General features: G+C 55.1%; 1 protein-coding gene across 10 annotated transcripts, besides 5 other annotated features; it reads right to left on the minus strand.

The window, feature by feature from the left end:
• Positions 1-1,048: 1,048 nt before the first annotated feature.
• Positions 1,049-26,811, minus strand: TOP3B (DNA topoisomerase III beta). Of its 10 annotated transcripts, NM_001349850.2 has the most exons (20): positions 26,754-26,811; positions 26,438-26,473; positions 19,664-19,831; positions 18,381-18,512; positions 16,636-16,742; positions 15,901-15,975; positions 15,004-15,085; positions 14,234-14,430; positions 12,643-12,799; positions 11,627-11,740; positions 9,309-9,399; positions 8,185-8,339; positions 7,947-8,052; positions 6,771-6,917; positions 6,453-6,626; positions 4,345-4,473; positions 3,611-3,760; positions 3,156-3,256; positions 2,516-2,717; positions 1,049-1,619 (listed from the first exon to the last, which is right to left on the minus strand). In NM_001349850.2, exons 8-20 carry the CDS (start codon positions 14,404-14,406, stop codon positions 1,138-1,140), a joined length of 2,181 nt encoding a protein of 726 aa, NP_001336779.1. In that variant the 5' UTR covers positions 14,407-14,430; positions 15,004-15,085; positions 15,901-15,975; positions 16,636-16,742; positions 18,381-18,512; positions 19,664-19,831; positions 26,438-26,473; positions 26,754-26,811; the 3' UTR covers positions 1,049-1,137. The 10 variants fall into 10 exon arrangements, 9 of the variants coding, with proteins under 9 accessions (NP_001336779.1, NP_001336777.1, NP_001336776.1 ...); NM_001349848.2 differs by lacking the exon at positions 26,438-26,473; NM_001349847.2 differs by lacking the exons at positions 15,004-15,085; positions 26,438-26,473 and adding an exon at positions 20,005-20,211.
• Positions 8,333-8,834: an enhancer, noted in NCBI's record as "H3K4me1 hESC enhancer chr22:22318681-22319182 (GRCh37/hg19 assembly coordinates)". NCBI's record gives its function as "activates a minimal SCP1, AML or CMV promoter by ChIP-STARR-seq in naive H9 embryonic stem cells {active_cell/tissue: H9 hESC(naive)}" and the evidence as "EXISTENCE:reporter gene assay evidence [ECO:0000049][PMID:30033119]".
• Positions 8,835-9,334: an enhancer, noted in NCBI's record as "H3K4me1 hESC enhancer chr22:22319183-22319682 (GRCh37/hg19 assembly coordinates)". NCBI's record gives its function as "activates a minimal SCP1, AML or CMV promoter by ChIP-STARR-seq in naive H9 embryonic stem cells {active_cell/tissue: H9 hESC(naive)}" and the evidence as "EXISTENCE:reporter gene assay evidence [ECO:0000049][PMID:30033119]".
• Positions 22,592-22,761: an enhancer, noted in NCBI's record as "experimental_63111 CRE fragment used in MPRA reporter constructs". NCBI's record gives its function as "activates a minimal promoter by MPRAs in K562 erythroleukemia cells, with activity observed for both the introgressed and non-introgressed 22:22333025 variant alleles {active_cell/tissue: K562}" and the evidence as "EXISTENCE:reporter gene assay evidence [ECO:0000049][PMID:34662402]".
• Positions 26,212-27,198: an enhancer, noted in NCBI's record as "H3K27ac-H3K4me1 hESC enhancer chr22:22336585-22337571 (GRCh37/hg19 assembly coordinates)". NCBI's record gives its function as "activates a minimal SCP1, AML or CMV promoter by ChIP-STARR-seq in naive H9 embryonic stem cells {active_cell/tissue: H9 hESC(naive)}" and the evidence as "EXISTENCE:reporter gene assay evidence [ECO:0000049][PMID:30033119]".
• Positions 26,696-26,990: an enhancer, noted in NCBI's record as "tiled region #76; HepG2 Activating DNase unmatched - State 1:Tss, and K562 Activating DNase unmatched - State 1:Tss". NCBI's record gives its function as "activates a minimal TATA promoter and a strong SV40 promoter by Sharpr-MPRA in HepG2 and K562 cells {active_cell/tissue: HepG2 | K562}" and the evidence as "EXISTENCE:reporter gene assay evidence [ECO:0000049][PMID:27701403]".

The following is a 27,198-nucleotide window of genomic DNA, read 5'->3' on the forward strand; positions in this document are numbered from 1 at the left end:
TGTCTCTGTATTTTCATTCAGCTTCGAGTAGCTCTCCAAACTGTGTTCCAGGGAACCCCCGTGTTAACCTGTGAGGGCCTCCAGGAAGGGGGTCCAGGGGGGGTATGCTTGGTGGGCTCTGGGTTTCCTTACAGGAGCTCTCATATAAGTCCTGGTGCAGCCTGGGAATCTACTACTGAGTTGGGGCGGGGGCGGGTCTGAGTCCGAAACATTCCTGACCTGCCCCTCAAAGAAAGGTCCCACTGAACAGTCTGGAAAGCTGTTTTGCTGAGCTCCCGTCATCACTCAATGAGGCACGGGCGGAGTGTGGAGGGAGTTTCCAACACACAGTGGATCCCGCACAGGTGTCTCTCCTCGGGTGGCTGGGGAGGGGAGCACAAGAAGGCACTGAGGTCAGAGGGCAGCTGCCACCAGCACCTGGCACCACACGGCAGTCTGGCCTACAGGGTATTTTCTAAACCTGGCATGTGAATGGGTTCCATGGGGCACCCAGCTGCCTCTAAGACCATAAGGGCTTGTTGTGAGAATGGGAATTGCAGCAGGTCCTGGGAAGCTGCCAGACGCACACGGGCACCATGTACAGGGCTTCTCAGAGATGGGAGCAGGGAGCAGGGGACGGAGAAGTGTGGGGTCAAGAGCGTGGCCCTGAGCAGGGGGCTGCAGCGAAGACCAAGGGGATTCATAAGCCAGATCCGGGGAGGGGGTCTCCCAGCCCCACCTGCTCCACTAGACTCCTCTCCTGCCGGAGCCACAGCTGTCAAGGCCGCCTTCCTTAAGGCATCAGGGCCACTGCTTGTGCACACAGCTACCATCAGCAGCACGGATTGAGATGGGGTGTGAGTGCAAACTGGGTCTATTCCCCAGGGCTTCAGGGTTGGGGCATCCCTGCCCGTACTGCCAGGGTGTAGGGATAGCAGGGAGCACTCTGGGCACGTGTATGCAGGCTGAAGGGAGACGTATTGGGTTTCGGAGAGGGAGAGAGGGCCCCACAGGTGCCCAGGGACACGGTAACGCTCTGACATCGCTGCACCAGCAAAGGGGCCCCAGCTCTGGATAAGATAAAATGCATTTTAATAGTTTGAAGTGCCATGAGGTGTCTGCATGGCACTGCAGCCTGGGTGAGGGAGGACAGGGTCATCATACAAAGTAGGCGGCCAGGGCTGACATCTTGTCCTTGGGCCGTCTGGGGTTGGGCTTCCCAGGGGGCCTCCTGGCCCGGCCCCGCCCTCGACCCTGCCTTCTCCCTGGTCCACCGCGGTGCATGGGGTGGCAGGAGGCCGCATGCTTCAGCTCCACCAGCTCCTGGAAGACGGGGTCACAAAAGACGCAGCCCATGTGCTGCGTCTCATCGCCCGGGAGTGGGGACTTGGCCTTGTTGAAGTCCACATCAAGCAAGGCGGCCTCACAGACACTGCAGGTGTCGGCGGACACCCGCACGCGGTGGGCGTTCTCGAAGCAGTGCGCTACCACGTTGCACTTGTTGCAGGCCACCTTCCACTTGGGGCCCGAGGTGGGGTCCAGCACCAGCACCCCGCTCTCACATTCCACGCACTGGCCGATGCCCAGCATGCTCAGCGAGTGCTGGCAGGAGGGGTGCGTACACTCGTTGCAGCCCATGCCTGGCGGGAGAAGGGAGCCCTGTAAAGGCACGCCCACTGTGCCCACCTGCCCTCTGCTGCCTGCTCCCAATGCCTCAAGCTCCTGGATCCCTCGTCCCAGCAGAAGGAACTCTTCTTGGCCTTGCTCTTGGGGACAGCCTTGCTCATGTTTCGGCTCCTGGCTGCCATTACCCCTGTTTTCTGCTTACCTGAAACCTCCTCAACTTTCAAGGCCCCTCGCTGGCACCATCCCAGTGGGTTTCAGCTGACTCCATCCCCCCTTTGCTTTGCTGCCAGCTTGTTACTGGTAATGCCACATGACCCTCATGTCACTGGGCCACATGGAACCACCCTGTCAGCTACTCTGGCGGCAGCAGGAGGGCAGGGATGGGGTCTCACTCCCGGGGCAGCCTGGGTGCAGACTGAGGCCTGAGGGAGCTTTCTGCAGAGCACACGGTGAATGTGGGCAGATGCCTCACTCCCGCTGATTCCTGGTCTGGCTCGGTGCTCTGTCCTGCCTGCCTGGACATGCGCTCCCTCCTCCAGTAATGAGGACGAGGATGAGGATGGAGGACGGTGGTGGACGCTGACTGGGGGTGCCCGCTCACCGGGTGGGTCCCCCGACTGCTGCATCCTCTTGCTCACTCAGCTCCAGAGGGAGCACTGCACACCTGTGCCCAGGTCCTGAGGGTGGACTAGGGTTGCCTGCTCGATTCTGACACAGAGAGAGGGTGGCACCACTGGCTGAGGCCTAAGCAGTGCCCCAGCTACATCCAGGGTCTCTCGTCTCAGTGCCAATGAGTGCAGGAAAGGCCAGGGTGAGGGGTCCCCTCAGAGTCCAGCCTGGTGCAAGGCAGGGGTTGGCACTGAAAAGAGACTGCAGCTACCTGTGGACAGGAGGGAGTGGCTGCACTCACCTTTCTTCATGTCTCGGAAGGGTGGGTGGTTGTAGCAGTAGGGGCACAGCGGGTAGCTCTTGCCCCGAGAGCCTGATGACCACAGGACCAGCTCGAAGTCATCCAGAGGGCAGCGGAGCTCCTTGTAGAGCTTGATGGTGCCGTTCTGGGGGAGCGTGTAGGTCTCATCGCAGTGGGAGCAGTGCAGGCGGCTTGGCTTGGCCTGCGGCAATGCCAGGCAGGTGGCGTGAGGGTCACTGGGGCCACCGACTTGGCACCCACCCCCACTCCTCTCATAATACAAAGTATGTAATCTGTCATGCAGAACCTGTGACACACTGCCAGGCAAGGAGCATGAGTCTCTGGCTCTTGCTCCACGCGTGCAGAAAAGGCAGTTCTAAAATCTCTGTGTGTACATTAATGCCCATGATGGCAAGTGGCATGGTGTTAGGGAAAAATGCACCATGTGTGTTTGCGTGGCCTAATGGCTGTGTATTCTAGGGGACGTGGGGACACTGGGTATTTTTTGGCAAGGCCTCTTTATGTTCCATCATTCTTTTGTGACAACCAGGACAAAGAACATGATTCCTGCTGATCAACGATAAAGCTGAGGCCTACAGGGGTGAGGCAGCTTGCCTGAGCTAGTGTTCCCTGCACCTACCTGGATGTACTTCATGAAGCGGTGGCACTTCCCACAGCGTGAGAGGGGCTTGCCTGTGGCCGCCAGGGGCGAGAAAGACACCTCCATCAACTCATCCATGCCTGCGGGCAAGCAGAGTGCAGGAGTCATCTCCCTCCCAGTCCCCAGCAAAAGGCTCCGCAACACGTGGTCAAGGGTCTGAGTGTGAAAGGGTCCCTATAGGCGGTGGTTTCTACTGTCCTGGCAGCACGGCAGGGCAGCAGCCCTGTGCGTCAGAGGCACGTGTTCCTGGCCATGTGTGGTGTTAATGCACCTGCTCTTTCAACCCAGCCAGGAGGTGTCACTGACCTGGCCTACGGAGGCCTGAAGCCCAGATCTGGGAGCTGGTCCCACGTGGGGACCTGGGTCCCCAGGTACTGGCCTTGCTGACAGAGAGACACCCCTCTGGTGAGGGGCAGGCCAGAGGCAGACTCTACCAGCAATGGAGTCGACAAAGTAGTGGAACTTCCTCTTGAACACGTCCAGGGTGTGGCCCAGGACCTGGCGGTAGTCGGCCTTGCCCTGGGCGATCAGGTTCAGCTGCTTCTCCACTGCACTGCGGATGGTGGGGAGCACCAGCTCTGCATCTGCAAGTGGGCAGGGGGCAGATATTGCCCTGAGCACTCGCACCCAGGGCCATGCCACCCCTTCCCAGGCAGGGATACTGCCCTGTTCACCCCTCCCGCTCTGGCCCGTCCTCCTGGCCTCTGCCCTACCCACCAGTCCACAGCCTCAGATGGTACCAGGCTGGCTCTTATGACCCCAGACCTTTCCTGATTTCCCACCTGGAAATGTCAGGCAGAGTGGCCAGGGATGTCCTGTGGCTAGAACCACATCACACATGAGCTCCAGGCCGCCCTTGGGCCAGTTTTGTGCTCCTCCCTCTCCCCTTGGCCCCTGGGGAACCTCCAGGGAACAGGGCTGAGGCAACTTCGCCTCCCTTTTTGGTTCCCTCACACATCTGTTCAGCCTTCAAACACACTGAGCTCCTGCTCTGGGCAGGTCCTGGGGGTCCTGGGGCAGCACCCCTTCAGCGGGTGTTGAGGGAGTGTGTGTGGGGCTGGGGGATCACTGTAGGGCAGGGGCCTGTCTGGAGCGGGCAGCAGAGCCAACATCCAGGGAGAAGCCAGGGAGCCTCGGTGGGCCCTGGGGGCAGGACTGAGGAACTCACCAATCTTATAGTAGCCGTGCACCAGGACGATGCCGAGGTTGGTGGGCTTGAGCCGGCGCCCGCTCTCCACCGTGACATAGTTGCGCTGGCAGATGTTGTTGATATGCACAGGGATGCTGGCATCCGTGCCTGCAATGTACAAGGCCCCAGGGTTCCTGGCCTGCCTTGGACATGCCCCACTGAACCATGTGCTGTATCACCTGTCACGGGGCCCCTGGTGCTCAGGCCCTCTCACTGCTCCCGGTCACAGGAGGGAGGGCTGTGCCCTGAGCTCCCCCTGCACTGTGCTGGGCACCAACTGCATGCATTTCATGTTCTGCCTTGAGAACACAAGGGCAGCCCTCCCTGTACAGGGCGCCTACTCCTGCTTTATGGCAGAGACAACAGGCTCGGAGGTTAAGGAACTCTCCAAGGTCACAGTGCTTATTCTGCGCCTGGAAAATGTGACTTCTATGGCTTCTCCTGCCTGGGTCCTGTGGCACCCACCTGCTCCCGGAGCCAGAGCCCCACTCCACCAGAACACGGAGGTGCTTACAAGCTCACTGCAGAGCTGCCCTCCCCTAAACCTGGACAATTCTGTCCACTTCCTGTCTCCCACCTCCTCCCTCTCTGCAAGGCCCGTCACGATCCCCAGGGGAGGCTCCCAGTCCCCAGGATTCCACTCTCCCACCCAGAGGAAGTTTCCTGGCAGAGGGGCGCAGCGGAGGCTGAGGCGTTTTGACTATGGCGGGTGCCAGTCAGAGGGGCAGAAAGGAGGCTGGGGCTCCCTGCATGCTCACCAGCATGGACAGGTGACACACACCTTCCCAAAGTAGCTCGGAGAGAATCTCACATGGGAAGAAACTGGCCTCTGGGGGCTAAGGAGCCTGCCGAGGGCCCATGGCTCTTGGCACGAGGCCAGCTCTGCACCCGGTGTGGCAGGCTGTGGGTGGCGTGTGCCACTACCACCCCGAGTCTGCCGGGCGCCATGACGCGTGGTGTGGGCTCCTCTGTGGCGGCTCTGGTCAGGCCCTTTTGACACACTCCTGGGGGCTCAGTCACAGGGCCACCCTGACCACTCTCCTGTTCAGAAGGTAACACCAGAGCCCTCTTCACTGTCACAAACTTGTATTGGTGATTGGGTCTGGCTCACTGGCTAGCATAGGGCTGCCAGGAGCCAGTGTCCCATCAATGCGAGAGGGCAGAGGACACGGGGGAGCAGAGCCCACACTCCACAGTGGGCTGAGGGCTATTTCAGGACCCTGGCAGGTGCCCTGGACCCCTGAGAGGAGCAAGCCCAGAGCTCTGCTCTCCTGCCAAGATCGCCATGGTCACCAGGACCCCAGCCTGGGAAGAGACACTCCCTGAGAGTCCACCTATATGACCACTGCTGGAGCAGAGCCTGGACACAGTGGCTGTGACATCCCACAGGTCTCCAGAGCCTGTCAGCCAGGGGTAGTGCCCCAGGGAACAGGCAGTGCCCAGCGGCGCGAGTGCCACCTGGGGAGAAGGCTCCGGCAGTGAGGCTGGCCCCCAACATGTGAGACATCTCACAGCTCCAGGCCTGGGGACTTGTGAGGCCACCACTCCTGTGAGGAGTGTGCACTGGTGACTACACTTTTGCTTTGATAAACTCCCTGGGCTGCCCATTTTTGCGTGGAAACTTCCTGGTCACCCTTTGGGGAGCCCTGTGCCTGGGACAGGCATTTCTGTTCTCTCCCAGGGAAGCAGCTCCTGTGAGATCTCATTTCCCTGTCACCTGATTTCAGGACAGCCCAGGCTGGCTGTGTGGACTCAGGGGACTGCCAATATGATTTCTATGAGTCACCTGGCATCTGGGCCAATCTTCAGCCTTGTGGGCGTTAGTCGGTGTGTGCACACCCCACAGTGCACGAGGGCACATCTGGGCCTTCACAGGGAAGGCCAGGTCCTGAATGGAGGCCTCAGGAGGGGATGCCCGCTGTGGACCTGCCTGGCTGGCCACACACTGGGTCACCAGTTTCCAGATACCAGCCCATGGAGGGGTGCTGGGCTGGGCACACAGGGCTGGCGGGGCAGCTTTGTGAGTAGACTCGAAGCCTGAGTACTGGAGACGGAGCCGGCTCTGGGGCCTGGGCAGGCGCACCCACCGATGCCATGCTTCTCCATGAGCGTGATGAGCTCGGCCTCCGTCAGGTAGTCGGGTGGGTTCGTCTGCTTCTCCAGCATCTTCACCTCGCCCACAGGGAAGGCATCACCCCGCTGGCAAGTGGGCAGGCTCTCCTCCAGGGGCACGCTCTGCCAGGGCATGACCTCCGTGAAGCCTGGAGAGATATGCGCCGCCACTCAGGGTCCCCAGCCTGGGTGGCCGGGGCCTCAGACCCTGGGCCTCCCATCCCCAGACACGATGTAGAATGTTTGTCTGCCCATGAAGGCACAGAGGAGGAAGGCTGGGCCCGTGGTGTGACCTGGTGAGAGGACGGTCTTCCCGGAGCAGGTGAAGAGCTCGGGCCCAATTCTGAAGGAGATGGTGCTCTGCAGGTACTTGCAGTCATGGCTGACCGTGGCGATGAAGTGTCTGGTGATGTACTCATAGAGCCGCCACGCGTCACCCCCTGCAACAGGCCAGGGCTAGTCAGTTGGGAGCCAGCTGGGGGCTCTGGCCGTGAGGAGCCCCCAGTACTCTCGCTCGAGCAGCAAGCTCCTGCTTACAGAGCCGCTGTGCAGGACACACTGCAAATCCTGGGGAAGGAGGAAAGAAAATGTGCAGGAAGGCCGGGCGTGGTGGCTCATGCCTGTAATCCTAGCACTCTGGGAGGCTAAGGTGGATGGATCACTTGAGGTCAGGAGTTTGAGACCAGCCTGGCCAACATGGTGAAACCCCGTCTCTACTAAAAATACAAAGAAATTAGCTGGGTGTGGTGGTGGGAGCCTGTAATCCCAGCTACTCGGGGGGCTGAGGCAGGGTGAACTGCTTGAACCTGGGAGGCAGAGGTTGCAGTGAGCCGAGATCGGGCCACTGCACTCCAGCCTGGGTGACAGAACAAGACTCTGTCTCAAAAAAAGAAAAAAAAAAAGCAAATGCGGAGGAAGGGAACACAAGCCTCCATGCCTCAGTGGTTTCTTTCTGGCTGCGGCTCCCACCATCCTGCACAACCTCCTGTCCCTGCTTCTGGCGGGACTGCTCTTCAGGCATTGGCCTGTCTTTCCATTGTCTCGTGACATGACACCATTGCTTCAAACTCAGACTGTCCACAGGTGGCTCCTGTCTCTACCTGCACTGCTCTCCCTTCCTCATTTGCCTTCTCCTGGCACTCGGACCACTGGTACCACCTTAGGCCAGCTGGGAGGTAGGAGGTGTGCTGCCCCCTCCCCCACACCGCCACTCTCTACCCTGGTTTCATTCATGTCCCCTGTGGCGTCTGCCCCCTTGCCTCCCTGCAACAGCACCTGCTGCTACCTCTTCACTCCTGTCCTGGTCCCATAGCAATGGAGCTCATCTTCCAGGTGGCCCCCCATCCCCACAGCCAGGGCAGGCAGAGGCTGAAGGAGCCCCCACATTGCCAACAGGGCCTGCAACCTTCACTGTCGCAGCTCGCCCTTCCCTCCCTGGAAGCACACCGGGTATGGGATGAGAGCGGTACCTAATTCGGCCTCTGTGGCAGACTTCATGGGGGTGATGGGGGGATGGTCGCCGGCGTCATGGCCTTTCCGCGGGCGGTTGATACCTTCTGCTAACAACCGCTTCACCTGAGGGAGAGAAGACAGAGCAGAGTCTGTGGCTGGGCTCGGCTGCCTGCCTGGGTTTGGCTGACGTACCAGACCTGGTCCCAAGGCCTCAGTGACACACACACATGCTGAGGCCGGCCCGGCTCCACTCACCGTGTCGGCCCAGTAGGGGTGGTTGGCCTGCTGCCGCAGAGAGCCCTTCAGGTCAAAGTTCTCAGGGTAGTGGGTGGTCTCTGTCCGTGGGTAGCTGATGTAGCCTTGCGTGTAGAGCCGCTCAGCCGTCTGCATGGCGTGCTGCGGCCCCATGCCTGCGAGAGACAGGAGGTTCTCAGAGGGCCAGGTACGTGGGGATGGCCAGCTGCCTGCCCTGGCCTATGCACTCAGGCTCCCCCATTGTGGCCGGCCCCTCCTGGAGGGTGACGGTGGCTCTGAGCAGGCACAGCTGGAGTGCAAAGCTGCTGGCCGGGTGGGCACCTATGCCACACAGTCTTGTATGAGGCTGAATCCCGCACCCGTAAGGCTGAATCCTACACCCAGGATGGGCCTGATGGGAAACGCCACTCACTCTACCCCACGGTGCATCCTCATGGGGCTCATGGCCATGGGGATGACACATGGCCTTCAGAGCACCACTCCCCATGCATTGTCCATGGAGCCATAACCATACCTCGGGGTTGGCTGACGACAGAGTTAGCACGCAGCCCCATTTTGAGCCCTTGGGTGTTTCTGTCCTCACAGCACTTTGGGGCCACTCAGGGGGGCTCGTCCTGCTACTCCCTGACCAGCAGAGGCAGGCGCTTAGCTAGCAACCACTCCCAGCATTGCTGCCCTCTGAGGACGCTGGAGCCACCACTCAGTGTCCACTGAGAGGACACTGCCCATAGTTCCCTGCGGGGGTGGGGGGCACCAATGCCTAGGGGCTGACAGCTGCCAGAGACCACCAGCTTTCCAGCCCAACCCCCTCCTCGTTACTAAGGAGAAAAGACTGAGGAGATGAGGCTGAGGGGCGACGTTCACACTGGTTCCCTGAAGGTGACATCTGGCTGGGGCCTCTCCCCTCACCAGGGATAGCTGCTCAGGGACTCTAACATCAGGAGGTCCCCTCAGGTGGTGACCAACTTTACCACCTTTACAACCTAAGGATAAGTGAAATCCTCCTGAGGCTCAGATCCCCTTGAAGCCTTGGGCACCATCCTGCAACCCTGGGCACTCGCTGCTCCAGGCTGAACCTGCCTCAGGAAGCCTTCTGGTGACTTGAGAGAAATGTCCCTACATACCCAGAGAAGAGCTGGCCACACGCAGCATCTCCACAGTGTTCAGGGCCAGGGGCCTCTGCTTGGCCTTTTCTTTCCTGCTTGTGGCCTCCACCTGGAAGACAGGACAGTCAATGATTTGGGGAAGGAGGAAGACACCACCATAGAGGGAATCAAGATGTGTGGACGAAGGGTCTGGTTTCATTCATCTGGTCTCCCTGTTTCTCCAATTCATTCTTCCCAACAGTCTAAAGACTTGATTGAATATTTATTCAGGACCAGGAAAGGAAAAAGAATGAAAATTCTTTTTTAAAAAAAAATTTTGGCTGGGTGTGGTGGCTCACGCCTGTAATCCCAGTACTTTGGGAGGCTGAGGCGGGTGGATCACCTGAGGTCAGGAGTTCGAGACCAGCTTGACCAAGATGGTGAAACCCCGTCTCTACTAAAAATACAAACATTAGCTGGGCATGGTGGAACGTGCCTGTAATCCAAGCTACTCGTGACGCTGAGGCAGAATTGCTTGAACCTGGGAGGTGAAGGTTGCAGTGAGCTGAGACCACGCCATTGTAATCCAGCCTGGGTGACAGAGCAAGACTCCATCTCAAAACAAACAAACAAACAAACAAAAAACCAAATTTTGTTTTTTTTAAGAGACAGGGTCCTGCTCTGTCGCCCAGGCTGGAGTGCAGTGGCACCATCAGAGCTTACTGTAGCCCTGAACTCCTGGGACAAGTGATCCTCCTGCCTCAGCCTCCTGTGTAGCTGAAACCACAGGCACACACCATCATGTCTGACCAATTTTTTTTTTCAATTTCTTGTACAGACAGGGTCTTGCTATGTTGCCCAGGCTAGTCTTAAATGAACTCCTGGCCTCAAGTAATCCTCTCGCCTCAGCTTCTCAAAGTGCTAGGATTACAGGCACGTGCCACCATGCCCGTCTACTTTTTAAATTATTTTTTTCAGAGACAGGGTCTCCCTGTGTTGTCCAGGCTGGTCTCAAACTCCTGGCCTCAAGTGATTGAATATTCTTTTCTGGAGAATTTTCTAGGGAAAGAGAAAACCTGGAAGATTGAGGAGGAGTCAGAAGGGCTGCAGATGGAAATCCTACAGAAGCCAGCATCAGCCAAGCTACAGGGATGGCAAGTGGGGCCCGTCCCAGGGGAAGTACCACTCCTTGTTGTGGGGAGGGCTGCTGCCTGCACCTGCTAGTATTGCTACCTCTTCTGATTTTTCAAGAGAAGCTAGAAGGCAGAATTTTAGTATGAAATCTCGTAATTTTTAAGTGCTGGTAACTATTCTGGAATTTGTGTAAACACCATGCAGGTTAGTGGAGTGCATCTATGAGCTGTGCTTTGTTGGGGTCCTGCCACTCTCTACCTCTGCTGAACACTTGTCGGAAGAGACAACTCTTTGTTTTGCCTATGGCAAAAACAATCCAAACAACTCAACCCCAGGCCCTGGCCCTTGCCAATCCCACGTAGGCTGGTCAGGGCAGTGCCTTCTGCATTCCAGACAGACAGATGTGGGTGCTAACAGAGGCCAGTTGTTATGTGAAGCTGGGCTCCCCAGCGTGAGGCCTGGAGGTGGCAACAGTGTCTCTGCAGGAATGTGATCAATGCTGACAGCCTGGAGCAGCTTTAGAAGTTTCAGATGCCTGAGACGATAGCATGGCGGGCAACAGGGCACTCAAGGAAGGCCAGAGAAGGACAAGGAGAAGGCGGCTAAGGAGGCCAGGCTGTGTCTCGACGGATCTGGTAGCTGTCATGCCTGTAGCATGTTTACTTCAATAGCCACAGATGTGTCCCCAACCCATGCAGCCAGGTCACCTCACCGTTTTCCTAACAGCCAAGCAGCATGTCCTTTCAATTCATAGAAGCCCTGAGTAAGAAACATAATCCCATAAAAGCACGCAAGCTGATTGCAATTGGAATCTCAAGACTTTCCCCTGCTAGCTGTGACCTTGGGCAAGTTCATCAGTGTGCACCAAGGTCCCTCTACAGTTGTTAGTTTGAATCTCTGTGTGAAATGGAGTCCTGCCACACGGAGGTAATGCCTAGCGGGTCACGTGGAAAGGGGAGAGTGGAAGGGGTCCGACAAGGTCACAGGTGTGGACAGTGCCTGGTATGGAGCGGGCATGCAGTACACTGTGACTATTGCACTGGGCAGAAATATCTTAGGAGTATATGAGGGAGTAACCATTCAGCTTTCCAAAAAGATGTCTGTGTTTCAGAAAGGGGGAGAAAGACGTGGACTAGGATCACAGGCTGTTCCTCCAGCGGGAGGCATCCAAGGGCCACCCTCACCCAAGGCAACTGTGATAGATGTGGGTGGAGCAGGCACACCTGGGCTTCCTTCTCCAGCTTTGTCATGTTTAAAAACATCTGTGCGATCTCCCGGTCAAACACTCTTACTCGGTCCCAGTCCAAAAGGAGAGATCTGTCTTTGTCAGTGTTAACCTGCAGGAAAAAGGATAAAGGGTGAACGCACAAGAAAAAGTCTCCAGGTGAGCCCAACGCCAGGAAGAACCAGGACAGATGAAGCTGGTCCTTGTCTGGGAGCCAAATAGCCCTGGCTGTAATGGCTCACAGCTGTACCTGTTCAGGTGGGCAGATACGCAAGCTGACATCTGGCCCTCTCCACCACTTGCCCCAAAACCAGGCAGCCAGTCTCAGGAAGGTGGCCCAAAGCTGAGGCTGATGTGTCCCTAAGAAGCACCTGAGCCCCTACTTCTCACACCACCCCTGCCTATCCCCAGTGCCTGGCCAGTGGTAGGTATGGCCACCGCCAGGGTCCCAAGCCCCGTGTCAGCCACAGCAGCTCCAAGACAGTGTCTCACTGTGTTGCTAGGCTGGAGTGCAGTGGCACGATCGTAGCTCACTGTAGCCTTGGACTCCTGGCCTCAAGCAATCCTCTTGCCTCAGCCTCCCAGGTTGTTGGGATTACAGACATCAGTCACTGTGCCTAGCTGTATTAAGTCTTACAGTGAGCTTCTGTGGAGGCTTTTATTTGAAGAAAGGGTTCTAGGAATTTTAAAAAGTTTGAAAGCCAATGGTCTCAGTCCAGTGCTTGGACCTGACCACTGAAGCCACTGATTCCTGTGGGGTGACCTCACCCTGCACTGCCAGAGCTGAACTCATTCCCACTTATCCAGATTCAGCATATACAGGCCCAGTCTCTTCCCACTGCCCCCATGAAGGCTGGGGTCCCTCAGCCCTAGGCACCACAGACCACTTCCAGGTACAGCCGTCCACACTTCTGCCCTCAGCCCGGGGCCTGCCGGCTGATGATGATGGAAGACTCTCAGAATCCATGCCCCAAACCCAGAAAGCCCCAGCATGAATAGAGAAAGGCAAGGAACCTTGGCCTGCAGCACCCAGTAGGTCTCTGGTTTGAAGGACTGGATTTTATCATGTCTCTCCACACAGAATCCCAGGGTTGGAGTCTGACACGGCCCAAAGGAGATGAGAGAGCTGTCTAAATCACCGTATTTCCCCTGGAAATATTTAGTCTGAAACCTGGAGGGAGTGGAAAGATATTTTGGTCACTGATTCACTCAAGACACTATTATGGCCACCCATGTGAGTCCAGCCCAAGGCCAGGGGTGGTGCATGAAGGAGGTGGCATCAGGTGGTGTCCCCACTTAGAAGCCAGTGGGAGCAGAGTGGGCATAGCCTTAGGGAGGATTCATGTGTGTACATGGGTGACAGAGCCAGTGAGAGAGGAGACAGAGGTTTCTACTGTCTCAGGCCAGGGAGCCTTCTATTCTATTCCATCTACTGCACACTCTCCTCAGGACCCCCAGAGCACAGACAAACACACTTTATCAAGCAGGGCATATGTGATCTCTGTCAGCTAAATAAACAATTTTCTTTAGGTCTCTTTTGTTTTTGTAGAGACAGGGTCTTGCTGTATTGCCCAGCAGGAGTGCATTAATGGGGATTCACAGATCATTGCAGCCTTGAACTCCTGGGCTCAAGTGATCCTCCCACCTCAGCCTCCCAAGTAACTGGGACTACAGGCTCACACCACCACACCCAGCTAATTAAAACAAAATGTTTGGACAGGCACAGTGGCTCATACCTGTAATCCCAGCATTTTGGGAAGCTGAGGTGGGCGGATCACCTGAGGTCAGGAGTTCGAGACCAGCCTGGCCAACATGGTGAAACCCCGTCTCTACTAAAAGTATAAAAATTAGCCGGGAGTGGTGGCAGGAGCCTGTAATCCCAGCTAGTTGGGAGGCTGAGGCATGAGAATCACTTGAACCCAGGAGGCAGAGGTTGCAGTGAGCTGAGATTGTGCCACTGCACTCCAGCCTGGATGACAGAGTAAGACTCTGTCTCAAAAAACAAACAAACAAAAAAATAAATAAATTTTTGTTTAGCCTGGGCGCAGTGGCTCACATGTGTAATCCCAGCACTTTGGGAAGCCAAGGTGGGCAGATTGCTTGAGCTCAGGAGTTTGAGACCAGCCTGGGCAATACAGTAAAACCCTGTCTCTACAAAATGCATAAAAATTAGCCAGGCATAGTGGTGCACACCTGTAGCACCTGTAGTGGAAGGCTCAGGTAGGAGGATCTCTTGAGCCTGGGAGGCAGAGGTTGCAGTGAGCTGAGATTGTACCACTGCATTCCAGCCTAGGCAACAGAACAAGACTCTGTCTCAAAAAAATAATTTTTTTTTTTTTTTTTTTTGTAGAGATGGGGTCTTGTTATGCTGCCCAGGCTGGTCTCAAACTGCCAACCTCAAGCAATCCTCCTATCCTGGTCTCCCAAAGTGCAGGGATTACAGGTGTTAGCCACTGTGCCTGGCCTTCTTCAGGGTTGGTGAAATCCCCTGTTGCTCATCCTGGCTCGAGGAGGCCTAGGGGCCCCGGAGGGGGACCAGTAGAGGCAGGTCTCTGGCTGAGGGAGAGTGAGGGTGTGCCCAGGACTCTGCGGGTGTGGCCAGCACCTGGTGAATGCACAGCCGATTCGCAGGTCCAGCTCCTGGCGAGCATCCACTGAGAGCGCCTCGTTGTGGTCAGGCTCGCCTAGGCAGGCCATGGCATTACAGATGTCTGTGTCCGTGATGGAGCTAAACCTGGCCCGGAACACGGTCTTCTCGCCACCATGGGCCTTGTTCATGACGGGCAGAACAGCATCAAGAACCTGGGGGTGGGGAGTGGCCAGCTGTGACCCACCTCCCAGATCCCTGCCACAGCTCCCCACCCCACTGTGAAGCCTGGTTCCTTCCAGGAAAGAACACGTGTGCTCGGCTCCCTCTCCTGCCCCTGCCAGACCCTCCTCTATCCCCTTTCCTGCACCTGCCAGACCCTCCTCTATCCCCCTGCCTTTCCAGAAGCCCTGAGCACTCCACAACACCCCACCACATGGCTTCCTTTACTCCCATCTAGAAACATACTCGAACACTCCCTTCTTACTCCCGCCCTCTCTTCTAATCCTCTGCTTTCATCCCCACCAAATCAGGAAATGCTACTGCCAAGTACATGAGGGACCTCTTAGTCCCCAAACCCATCCCATGTGACACGATTCCCTGCCTTCTAGGAGGGAGGGTTTGGAGGGGTGGGTGGAAATTTTAAGAGGCTGAAGAAAAGACAGGGAAGGAAAAAAGAATGAAGGGGAAAGGAAATGGGCAAGAGCAGGAAGGCCACGGGTGGTCCTAGCTTGTGGTGGGGGCAGCTCGGGCTAAAGCACAGCAGGGGTCCTGGAGCCGAGACTCACTAGGAAGGCCGTGCAGTGGGACTAGGGTCGCCGCCGGAGCCTGGCCACGCAGCTTCCTTACTGGGAATAAGTGGCTTCATTTCTGAAGGGAGAAAGCCCCATGAGCTGCCCCCATTCTCCATTCCCAGATGCAAAGGCCCCCAGGGAGGAGCCGCCCTGCAGGGGAGGAGAGGGTATCTGGGAAGAGACAGAGTGTGATCGCATTTGCTGAGGGTGCTGTACTGCAACGCCAGGTGCCTCAGCTCTGTCTCACTGACCAGCTCTTGAGCCACGGGTGAGAGCTGGGGGTACAGGAGCACGGGGGCGACCCATAGAACAACAGTCTGAAGGGCACCAAGTGAGACCAGCAGTCATGGCCACTGTGAGGGCACCATGGCCGGGGCAAGCATGGGGCATGGGGTGTGCACAGGGAGCAGCTGCCACCTGCTTCTCTGCAGGGCTCCCAGGGTTGGCTGGAGGCAGGAGGCATCCTGGATGAGGCAGGAGATGAGCAGAGCGAGGCCTGCAAAAGGAGCTCAGTGCTGAGGTCGGGAATCAACCAGCATCAACCCAAGGTCCCTGAGAAGTCACGCTGGGCACAAGATGCTGAACACCAAGCTGCCCCAAGACAATCCCATTCTGAAACCTGCATCCACCCAGACAATTTGGCCCCTCCTATGTTCACTCATACCGTTGAGGCCTCAGCAAGCGGAGGAACAACTGACCACCTTTAATAGAGCCTATGCAGTTAAAAGTATCTGTGGAGTTTCAGAATAAAGGGAGGGGAGAGGTGTTTTTAAACCGGTACAGTTTACTCCCTCCTTTGGCCCCAGGAGTGATGTGACTGACTGCTGGTGTCAGTTTGGGGCTGGTGTCAGAAAGGCCAAAAGTGAGGAACAAAGTGAGCCTCACACTCACCTCAAAGCAGATGTTCTCCCCCTCCTTGTCGCAGTCCAGCCACAGCACGATGTAGTCGCAGCCTCTGCCCTCCACCTGCCACACAGCACAGGTTCACACGTACCTGCTGCAGACCCGGTCTGTGCCACCCGCCCCCAGTGCTCCCATCCAGGACAGGGCTTGGTCCCAGGCCCTGAACCTCAGTTAGGAGGACTGGTACCTGGGCTGGGTAAGGAGCTGGCTGTGTTGAGGCTGGCTCAGCCAACAGAAAAGAATTGAGTTTATAATTGATGTTTTTTGGACCAAAAAAAAAAGTATAAATGCAACATGATCTTATACCCCAAAACTGCCCAGAAGAAGGGTTAAAATGAAATAACCCTAAATGATAACAGCAGTCGTCTTGGGTAATATGATTATGCATAATTTTTCTGTCTTTCTACTTATCTGCACTTTCTAATTTTCCATAATCTGTATGCATTTGTTTTAAAATTAAGGAGAAAAACCCCCCGACCAAACAAGCTATTTTAAAAGCAGAAGGCCTGCTCTCCAGGACTGAGGGTTGGCAATGGCAACTGCCTTGTGTGTTGGGGGTGCCTGCAGGTGCCTCGTGGGCCAGCAGGGGGCACTCACAGAAAAAGCTAGCAAAGGCCCCCCTGTCCAAGGGGGATTAGGACTCAAGCAAGGGTGGGCAAAGACATGGCAGCTGTGGAGGGTGGGGAGCCCCGGTGTGCTCATGCCCAGGCCAGCCCCACGCACCTGCAGGAACTTCACCATGTTCAGCTTGGGGTTAGCTTCTTTCTTCTCCGTGGGAGCTTGGCTGAACAGTTCTGCGGGGTCCACTTTGTCCCATTTGTTGTATTTTCCTACAAACCAGTCACAGTGACATTGAGTCACAGGAGCTCAGCCTCCGAGACCATCATAACCCCAGGAGGATGTTGGCCTCATCCCACAAATGAGGAGGGGAAAGCTTGGAGAACAATTTGCCCAGGGTCATCCTGATGATCAGAGGCAGAGCCAGGATGTGGGTTCAGGCCTTTGGTAACCCCCTCCCATCCAGCCTCCTTTCTGCTCGGCTGCTGAGCGGACCCACCACACCCCGGCCAACCACAGGAGCCAAGCAAGCTCTCGGGGGGCTGCCACTCTGGCCTCACTTCCGGGACTTTCCCTGTGGCTGGGAGCACCATTCCTGGGCTGGGTCTCTTTGCCTGAGCACTGGACCCCACAATGGTGCCTTCATTGACACTTCCAACCTGAGTTTCTGGAACTTTGTCCTTCCACCCAGCACTCTGTGGGGGCACACATGTGTGCAGTCGTTCCTGTTAAAGGACCATCTTTTTGAGCCTCATGCCCAGCACATTCACCTACTCATCTACAGAGACCCGGTTCTTGCATGCTCAGCTGTCTGGCTTTCTTTTAGGCCCCATTTCTTTTTTTTTCTGAGACAGGGGTCTCGCTCTATCACCCAGGATGAAGTACAGTGATACGATCACGGCTAACTGCAGTCTCGACCTCCCAGCCTCAGTCCATCTTCCCACCTCAGCCTCCCAAGACTACAGGTGCGCACCACCATGCCAGCTGATTTAAAAAGAATTTTGTTTTTTTTTTTTTTTGTAGAGACAGGGGTCTCACTATGTTGTCCAGACTAGTCTTGAACTCCTGGGCTCAAGCGATCCTCCCCAGGCCCCATTTCTTGCATCCTGGGAGAATGGGGTCAGACAGAGCCAAATTCAAATCCCGGCTCCCCACCTGCCAGTTGGAGATAAAACTTGGGGTCCAAATGCTCAGCCACACAACTCAGTCACCATCATTGTCATCACTGTCATCAATGAGCAGCAAGAACAAGGGCTGAGGCTTTGCTGTGTGTCGGGCCCTGTGCTGAGTGCTTTGCCCTCACTGTCACACTGAATCCTTAGCCTTGGGAAGCAGATGGCATTGCTGTGAGACCCATTTCACTATGAGAAGTGTAAACTCAGAGGCCGTCATTGCCCACATCCCCAGCCAGTGAGCCGGCAGAGCAGGGGGAAAAGCCTGGATCAGACTCTTGCCAACCACATGGCCCCAAACCTACACCCAGCAGGTCACTAATACTGGCGCTTCCAAGGTAATTGATAACAGTAACAATATAGGAATGACAACGACAGCCACCAAATGACCGACAGATGACGGTCAACTTGGCAACAGCAGCAGCCTTCTCTTAAATGCCTGCACAGGTCAAGCCCTTCCTAAGATAGGTGCTGCCACTTTGTCTACATAGGAAGGCACACAGGGAATGCAGCGACTAAGGGGTGCCGCTATGATGGGGACCCAGGGCTGAGTTCCAGAGCCTGGGTTCTGGGCACCGCACCAGGGACCCTCTCATTGCTACTTCATGATCTGCTGGCCTTATGACTCATGGAGTTGGGACAAACTTCCCTGCCTAGAGGCATCTCCTGGCTTCAACTGGACCCTGGCCAGTGCCATGCAGAACTCCCTTCAGTAGGATGGAGGGTAGAGGGGCTTACCCAGGAAATCCAGGGTCATCACGTGACCACAGACAGACGTCATCTTGAAGCGCACTGGCTGGCCAGCAAAGGTCCCAGTGTACTCGTGGACTGAGCAGGCCCCGTTCAGCCCTTTGTGTGAGGACAGGCTCCCTGGGGATGAGGAAGCACAAAGTGACTGGCTGCTTCAGCTGAGCTGAAGACCCTGTGGAGACCCCAGCCCGGATGCCACCTCCCAGAGGGCCAGAGTCCTCCTTCCCCAGAGTGGTGAGTGACGACATTCCGCAGACTGGTGCGGGTAGTTGGGCACTGAGAGGTGGGACGGCGCTCAGGGAAAACAGCATCTGCCAACAACCTAGCACAGAGCACTCTCGATGCAGAGCCCCAGGCTGCCGGGAGCCAGGAGCAGGCAGGGGTGGGCTCTTTCTCTGTATTTATGTTTTCACTCTTCAATTCCATTTTTGCCTCACTTCATTGAAACGTTATTCATCGTTTACTAAAACAGACTCCAGATCTACTCTCGGTTACCAGGGACCTTCTAATTATCGAATTCTCACCCTCTCCACTGACCATACTCAGCTGTACTTTCTCAGCTTCTGGGCACCGGGCACCACTTTTGGGGCACCGTCCCCTGCGGACCATGCCTTCTCAGCTGAACGAGGGTCTCTTCCCCTCTCAACTGCTGGACCAAGGGGAGGCCAGGTAGGTGCCTGTCATTTCTGGGTACCCAGCATCTAAAACTCTTCCTATTTGGAGGGAATTCAAAGATAGGGGGAAACAGCACCCTACCAACCACCCCAGTGGCCAGAGTTGGGGGTGAGTGGCAGACATTCCCTCTCGAGCTCCCTGGTGTCTCAGTAGTGCCTGTGGCCATAGCTCAGTCCATTGGCTACTCTGGAGTGACGTGAGGTCCACAGGACAGTGGGAGTATCCAGGGGTGACAATGCCTGGGGCATAGCCTCATCAGACCTTGACTGGGGTGTAGTCCTGGCTGCGTCTCCTTCCTTCCAGGGCTGGTTTCTACTACCTGTACCTAATAGCCCCACCAGGCCCAGCATATGGATAATGACTGTCCTTCAATTTCATTGTAAATTGTGCCTTGTGCCTTATGGGAACCCCAGCTTTGGCACATTGCCAGGAGTGGAAGCAAATGCACCCCACTGTGACATACTGAGATGCTTCATTACCACCTGCCGACCCGAACCAAATCTACCCCAGCCAGGGTGGAATCACATTAGGAAAAAATGTCCTGTAACACATAAACGACCGTGCTTACAGACCAAAGCAGGGCTGGTCTCTCCTACCTCTAGAGAGGATTTTGGCAATTGACTGTGCCAAGGACGGCTTTTCAGCAACCATGAGCACAGTCTTCATTTTGTCTCGGTCCTTCACACTCCAGTTTCGGGGCACTGGCAATGAAAAAGTTTAGACTCCACTCTTCCGCAGCACAGCACTATTACCAATGCTGACTCCTAAAGAGAAGAAAAGACACTCAGGATAGCAATGCTGTCAATAGAACCTACACCACTACAAGGAAAATCACTTTAACAAAGAAAAAACAAGACCAACCTGAGGCAAGAAGAAGAAAAATTAGGGAATTAGGGAAACTTGAAGACATCTGAGATTAAAAACAAGAAAAAACTACCAGGTCAGCTGAAGTGGCTGAGATGATCCTGGGAATGTGGCTCCATTTGGGGGAAGGTGAAGTGGCCCCAGTGATCTCAGGTCAATTTTATTCCTAAATCCATGCTAGGAAGATGCTGGGGCCTGGGGATCTGGAGTGATGGGTCAGGCCAGGTGGATGCCTGGCCCTCCTCTCTGGACTGGCTCTTCCACCTACAGGTGGACTCACCTGGAAAGAGGAACTATCGTGGCCGAGAGCAGCACCTCCCGCTCAGCAAAGCACTTGGACGCCCCAGGACACTTTACAAAATGCAGATGCCCAGGCTGGGCCCCCCAGGTCCTTCTGATCCATGATGGGCCTGAGACCCTCTGGCTAGTCGGTCCAGCCCCAAGCAGACATCAGGACTCTGTCACATCTATCTCCCACCTATTCCACTCCACCTTTTGCTTTGCAGGTCATGCTCTGGCCAAATTAAATCAAATATCATCATCGAAGCAAACACGCACTTGAAGCCTCTGTGCCTGCGCTTCCCTGCCTGAGAGAAAGCTCCGCCAGGCCTGGAGGATGCAGCTGGATGGCCCACAGGCCCAGCTCAAGTCTCCCAACACCACTGGCAGGGTAAGTCAGCCCTCCTGTGCCCACAGCTCTTGGGCTAGGTCTCCATTCCAACCCACTCACATCATGCCATCATCAGCGACTACTTCACCCCCAAAATAGGACACGATGGGCTTTGTGTCTGAATCACTGTTGGTCTTTGCAACAGCTTTCTGTGCCTGACACATGACATTCAATACCTGCTAGCCAAGTAAAAGAAAACCACATGAACCCTTTTTGTTTTTTCAGTCATTATAAATGTAGCACTGATGTTTATAAACATAGCACCGTATTAAAAAAGAAAAAAAAGACTCGTATTGAGACAACTGGGAAATCTGCTGTGAAAAAAAATAAAGTTAGACTCCTGCTTCCTAAATCCCACTAAAACCGATTCCAGATCTAGCAAAGGTTTGAGTAGAAACAATGAAACCAGAAAATATTAGGAAAAACATGTGCTTTTAAAATAAATCTCACAAGCCAGGTGTGGTAGCACATGCCTATAGTGTCAGCCACTCAGGAGGCTGAGGCAAGAGGATCGCTTGCTTGAGGCCAGGAATTCAAGGCTGTTGTGTGCCATGACTGCACCTGTGGATAGAACAGCCACTTCACTCCAGCCTAGGTGACAGCAAGACCCTGTCTCAAAAAAAGTAAAAGCAAAATAAAATAATCTCAGCATAAAGAAAAACTACCACCTAGATGGGCACAGTGGCTCACGCCTGTATCCCAGCACTTTGGGAGGCTGAGGTGGGTGGACCACTTGAGGTCAGGAGTTCAAGACCAGCCTGGCCAACATGGCAAAACCCCATCTCTAATAAAAATACAAAAATTAGCTGGGTGTGGTGGTGGGTGCCTATAATCCCAGCTGCTTGGGAGGCTGAGGCATGAGAATCGCTCGAACTCAGGAAGTGGAGGTTGCAGTGAGCCGAGATCATGCTATTGCACTCCAGCTTGTACAACAGAGTGAGACTCCATCTCAAACAAAAAAAAAAAAAAAAAAAAAAGGGAAAACCACCACGTAAGTACCTTTGTGGTATCACATCATGTCCAACAACACTCGCAGAAGAAACTCAGAACTACAATGAGCTTGTGCTTATCACATAGGGAGAGACTCAAAGTCGTTGCACACACAGCAGATGAGGGCATGGGGAAGTTAAATGGGAACAACCTCTATGTGCAGCAATTCAGGGATCCCTCTCAAAGTCCGAGTGCACATCCCAGCAATTCCACTCCTTGGAATGAACTTAATAGTCCAGTTATTTATTGAGTACCTACTGCATGCTTGGCCTAGTCCAGGATGCAGGGAATACAGCACAAAGCAACACCAGGTCCTGCCCTCCCAGAACTCATGCTGTAGTATGGGAGCAGGGGAGGGACAGGGCAGGGCTGGGTGACACCTGGGAGAAGAGTCCAGGCAGAAGGAGCAGGGAAGGTGAGGTCCTTGGGGAGGATATGGCTGGGCAGGGGGGCTCATGGGGCTGAGGGAGGGAGCAGGGGTGTAGAATGTGGGTCTGCTCTAGGGGTGCTGGGAGGCAGCAGAGGGTTTGCATAGGTGTGGGATAATCTGACTTCAAGTGTTAAAGGGACCTCTCTGGCTGCCACATAGAAGAGGATGAATGGGCCCTGGGTAGCAGTGGTGGAGGATGCGAGGGAAGTCAGAATCCAGGCAGACCTGGGATGGCGGGACATGGGAGGGGGAGGGGAAGGTGAGTCAAGAATGACCTGAGGCAGAGCTGGGCATGGGCTCACACCTGCCATGGGCTCACACCTATAATCCTAGTGCTTTGGGAGGCGAAGGCAAGAGGACCACTTGAGGCCAGGAGTTTGAGAAGAGCCTGATTAACACAATGAGACCTCATCTTTACAAAAAAGCAAAAGGAACAACCCATGGCTTTGGCTTAGGCATGACAGGAAGGGACTGGCAGTCTGATGTGGGACTTCAGGTGTGTTAAACGGGACCTGCCCATTGGACAGCCTGGGTGGCCTGGAGGAGGTGGCAGCAATGTGGAAGGAGCCCAGGCTGGGGGTCGGGAGATGAGGAGCTAGCAGGGTGAGTCAGGAGGGGTAAGGTCCTGAAAGCCACAGGAAAGAGCACTTCAGGGCAGTTATCACCATGTGGGGGACACTGACAGGCCAGGCGAGATGGCAGCTGAGACCTGACTGTAGGGTCTGGCAAACAGAGCCCTGGGTAATCCTGATGGGGCCATGTGGTGAGTGACAGATGAAAGCTGCATGGGGTGAGCTCAACAAAACCTGGGAGATGGGAGAAGGCTGGTGCACTGTCCCCTCTTGTTTCAGGATGGTGGCTGTGCCAGCATGTTCTCCGCTGATGGGACTGCTCTGGCGAGAAGGAAAAGAGAAGCTGCGTGCCGGAGGGGAAGGAACTGCTGCAGTGATGGCCTTGGGAGGGTGAGGGGCAAGAGAGGCAGCCGGTCAGCATCCAGGCGATGCAGAGCTGCCACAAGGCTGCACTTCTCTTGGTGGAGGAGGAGGCATGGTACGGCTGTCCACTGAGGGAGGACAGGTGGTGATGCTGCGGGCAGGCCCACAGCAGAGGAAGCACTGGATTTAGTTAGATGGGAGAGTCCAGGTGAGTAGGAGGGAGAGGGAGTGGGTCAGGGTTCGAGGGGAGAGATTACAAGGACAGAACCTGACTCTGAGTTGGGTGAAGAGGGAGGTGAGGGTTGGGGAGGGTCCACAGAGGGTGTGCTCTGTGGGGTCCAGGAAGTGAGGCACAAGAGCAGGAAGTGGGAGTCAAAGAAGCAACTCCCAGAGGGTGGGAGGCTCAAACAGGAATTACAGAGGGGCCTGGGTGGTGGCATGCTGACCCAGGGAGGGCAAGGGCTGTGAGACAGGTAGAGAGTGAAGTCACCTGGGGAGACTCACAGGAGTCAGTGGTGGGCCCTGACAAGACTGTCCATGTGGACTCTGAGTCCCCAGGAGGTAGGACAGGGCAGCGCTGGAGTGGCCTCAGGCTGGGCACGGTGGTGCCTGTGATGAACCACATCACTGGGGAGTTCTCTGCAGCATTATCAATCATGATAAAAGGTTAGAAACAAGCTGGTGTCTGTCAACAGGGAGGTGGTTAAATAAAAGCATGGCATTCTCTGGCCGGGCGCGGTGGCTCACGCCTGTAATCCCAGCACTTTGGGAGGCCAAGGTGGGCAGATCACGAGGTCAGGAGATCAAGACCATCCTGACTAACGTGGTGAAACCCCGTCTCTACTAAAAATACTAAAAATTAGCTGGGCATGGTGGCAGGCGCCTGTAGTCCCAGCTACTCGGGAGGCTGAGGCAGGAGAATGGTGTGAACCCGGGAAGCGGAGCTTGCAGTGAGCCGAGATTGCGCCACTGCACTCCAGCCTGGGCGACAGAGTGAGACTCCATCTCCAAAAAAAAAAAAAAAAAAAAAAAGCATGGCATTCTCTACAGTAGAGCACCTGGCAGCATTACAAAGGAAAGCATCTGCTTGGTACATACTAACGTGGATCAGATCACTGAAATAAATCATGCTAAGAAAGCTGGGCATGTAACGGTGTGTAGAGAGCACTGCCATCTGTGATCACACATATGTGTGCACACGTGTGCACTTGATTATGAAGAGGCGATATGTCTGGATGGAACGCAAAACAAACAGTCCAAGCAATCACCTGGAGTGGGTGTTAGGGCCTGGAGGTCAGGGCTGGGGGTGCCTCCTCACCACATTCCCTTTTGCACCTTTTACATTTAGCGCCTGGACACAGGTGACTGAGGGACAAGAACTAAGACAAGGGACTTTACAATAAAACCAGAAAAATAAAGGAGGGTTGTAAAGGGCATTGTTCAGAAAGGATGCCAAAGGAACTCCCTCACTAAAGGGGCTTCTGCTGCTCATCATGCTGTGCAGGGGAAGAGGTCCAAGGTCGGCCTTGGGCTGTCAACCTTGTTCCCCACTTAAGAGATCACAGGACTACAGTGAAATCAGTAATCTTGACCAGAAAGCTGTCCCAAATAAAATGACAATTTGCTTTTTTCCTCAAAATAAGTAAGTGGATGTTCCCCTTAAATGTACAACCATCCCACAGTGAAAGAGCCGAGGCCTTGTGGAATGACGACACTGTCTGCAGATGAGCTCTCTGGCCCATGACAGCTCCAGCTGCATCTCCCAAGGCTCTGCTGCGCACCCACCTTTCCTCCCTGTGCGCCAGCAGGCTTCGGCCTAGGCCACTTTTCCCCCTTAGTCTACTTGCTCTGACCCCTGCCCCTCCCCTCCTGAAGACTGCATCTGGCGTCAGCAGTCTGTCTCTCCCACAATTGTCAGGTTCATTGCCATATTTCTGGCACCCAGCATGCACTAAATGCCTGCTGAGGGAATGAATGAACAACCAAGGTGATTATGACTGGCCTCTGCTCTCCGTTCTGGGGAAGTTTTGATTCTACCAAAATCAGAGGCCCAGAAGTGAGGTTTAAAAGAGATTTAGGGACTCCCCTTCTCTCACCCTGGGAAGCCAGAGGCCAAAAGGGAAAACTCGCAGCAGAGGGGCATTGTTCTGTGAGGGTCTGAGTTTCCCATCTCTTCCAAAGTAGGAAATTTTGTCCTAAAATGTTTCCTCAGATTTTCTCATGTCTATGCCACAGAGTAGTCAGCAATTATGTATGACATAATGAGGACACACCAGGGACCAGGCAGTCCTGCCAGCATCCTAGGCAGGGATGCTAATAGGTGCTGCCATTTTATTGGCCTAGACTGGGACTGTGGGGTCAGAGAGACCAGAGCTCCAGTGGCTGGACTTGGTTGTTCTAGAACCCGTGCCCCAAGCCTGATCCTGTCCTGCCTCTGTGAGCACTCTGATGGAACAGCAGCCCAGCTTTGCTTCCTTGTAGCACTCATCACTACACTTGGTACAGCTTCCATCTACTTATTCAGCTCTTGTCTTACAGCTCCTAGAAAGTAAGTAAGCAGCAGGAGAACACGGGTTTTGCTTTGTGCATTCTCACGGTAAATAGACAGTGAGCAAATACTTTGCGAGGCTGAGGCAGGTGGATCACCCGAGGTCAGCAGTTCAAGACCAGCCTGGCCAACATGGTGAAGCCTGGTCTCTACTAAAAATACAAAAATTAGCTGGGCGTGGTGGCGCATGCCTGTAATCCCAGCTACTCAGGAGGCTGAGGCAGGAGAATCACTTGAACCCGGGGGCGGAGGTTGCAGTGAGCTGAGATCGCGCCACTGCACTCCAGCCTGGGTGACAGAGTGAGACTCTGCCTGCAACAAAACAAACAAAAAAAGAAACAAGCAGATGTGGCCTGGGAGTAGGCCTAGCAGTGGTCTGAATAGCATTAAAATTCCTAGGATTTACCACCTCAGTAACTTTACCAAATGCTTCTAGAATCAGGAAAAGAGGGAAACAACCATTTCTTAAGCTCCTCCTTTGTAGTAGGCACACCATAGCTATCAACACTATTCAATCTCGCCAGCAACCCCATAAGGCAGGTGTTGTAATTTTTTAAAACTGTGAGTAAATGGAGGTTCAGAACAAGTCACACTAGTGTCAGGTGACCTTGGCAAAAGAATCCCAGGACTGGCTGGCCATCAAGCCCAAGTTAGGCTGGCCTCTCAGGTCCTGTTTCAAAAGGTGAGAAGATAAAAAGGCAAGACTAGGAACATCTTACCTTTCACTTCTGCGAGAAATTATTGCCCCTGGATTCCAGCTAATTTGTTCACAAAAGTACCCTACTTCATTTACAGATAACAGGTCAGAGAACCTGGGTGCCCTCAAAACCCAGCCAGGGCCTAGGGGGCGGCGAGTGGAAGCTGCCTGGGTGTGTACCGCACCGATCTGGGCCCCGGTGGCTGCACAGCTTCCCTGAGCCTCAGTTTCCCTACCTGTGAGACTGGTACAGCAGATCTCACCCTAAAGAGCTGTGGGAGGGTTCGAAGAAGAAAAGTATTAACCACAGCGCCTGCTCCCTGCAGGCACATGGCGGGCCCATCTCCACCTCCCTGAACCCCCACAGCAAGCCCCGCGGGAGAGTATCACCCCCGCCAGGGAAGAGGCAACAAGAATGCAGAGCCCGGCCCGGGCGCTCTCCCGAGCTCGCGGGTCCTCCGCCGGCCAACGTTCAGGAAACAAGCCAGAAAAATGCGTGCGCTTCCCGCCTTTCTGAGCCGCCGGGCGAGGGTCCCGCAGCCCGCCGCTCACCCACAGCCGCACCGCGGATCCAGCTCCGGTCCTTGTTCCCGGGGCGGCTACCGACAACCCCTATTTCCGGGTCCAGCCGCTTCTGGCGTCCCCGCGTCCGGTGTGCCAGCGTCTGCCCTCCGGCTCCGGCGGGTCGGCGTTCTTAGGTTCCGTGGCTCGCGGATTCCGGGAGCACCCCAGGGAGTGGCACTTGCACGCCGCGGACCGCAGGGATCCCCAAGCCCTGCACCCAGATTCTTCCCCGCCACGGAGAGACAATCATGACAATTATCATTACAATGATTATGAAAACTGGCATGAAAACATTTATGCTGTTAATAATTAAAATAATAAAAATGTACCGATGTGTGTATAGCAGGCTTCTTTTCGATGCTGTAAAAAAATCTGTGGAATGAATGAATGATCTGTGTAAAATATATTTGGAAGATGAATTCTAAAATTAAGT

This window comes from Homo sapiens, chromosome 22 (genome assembly GCF_000001405.40).
Source record: "Homo sapiens chromosome 22, GRCh38.p14 Primary Assembly".
NCBI lineage: Eukaryota > Metazoa > Chordata > Mammalia > Primates > Hominidae > Homo > Homo sapiens.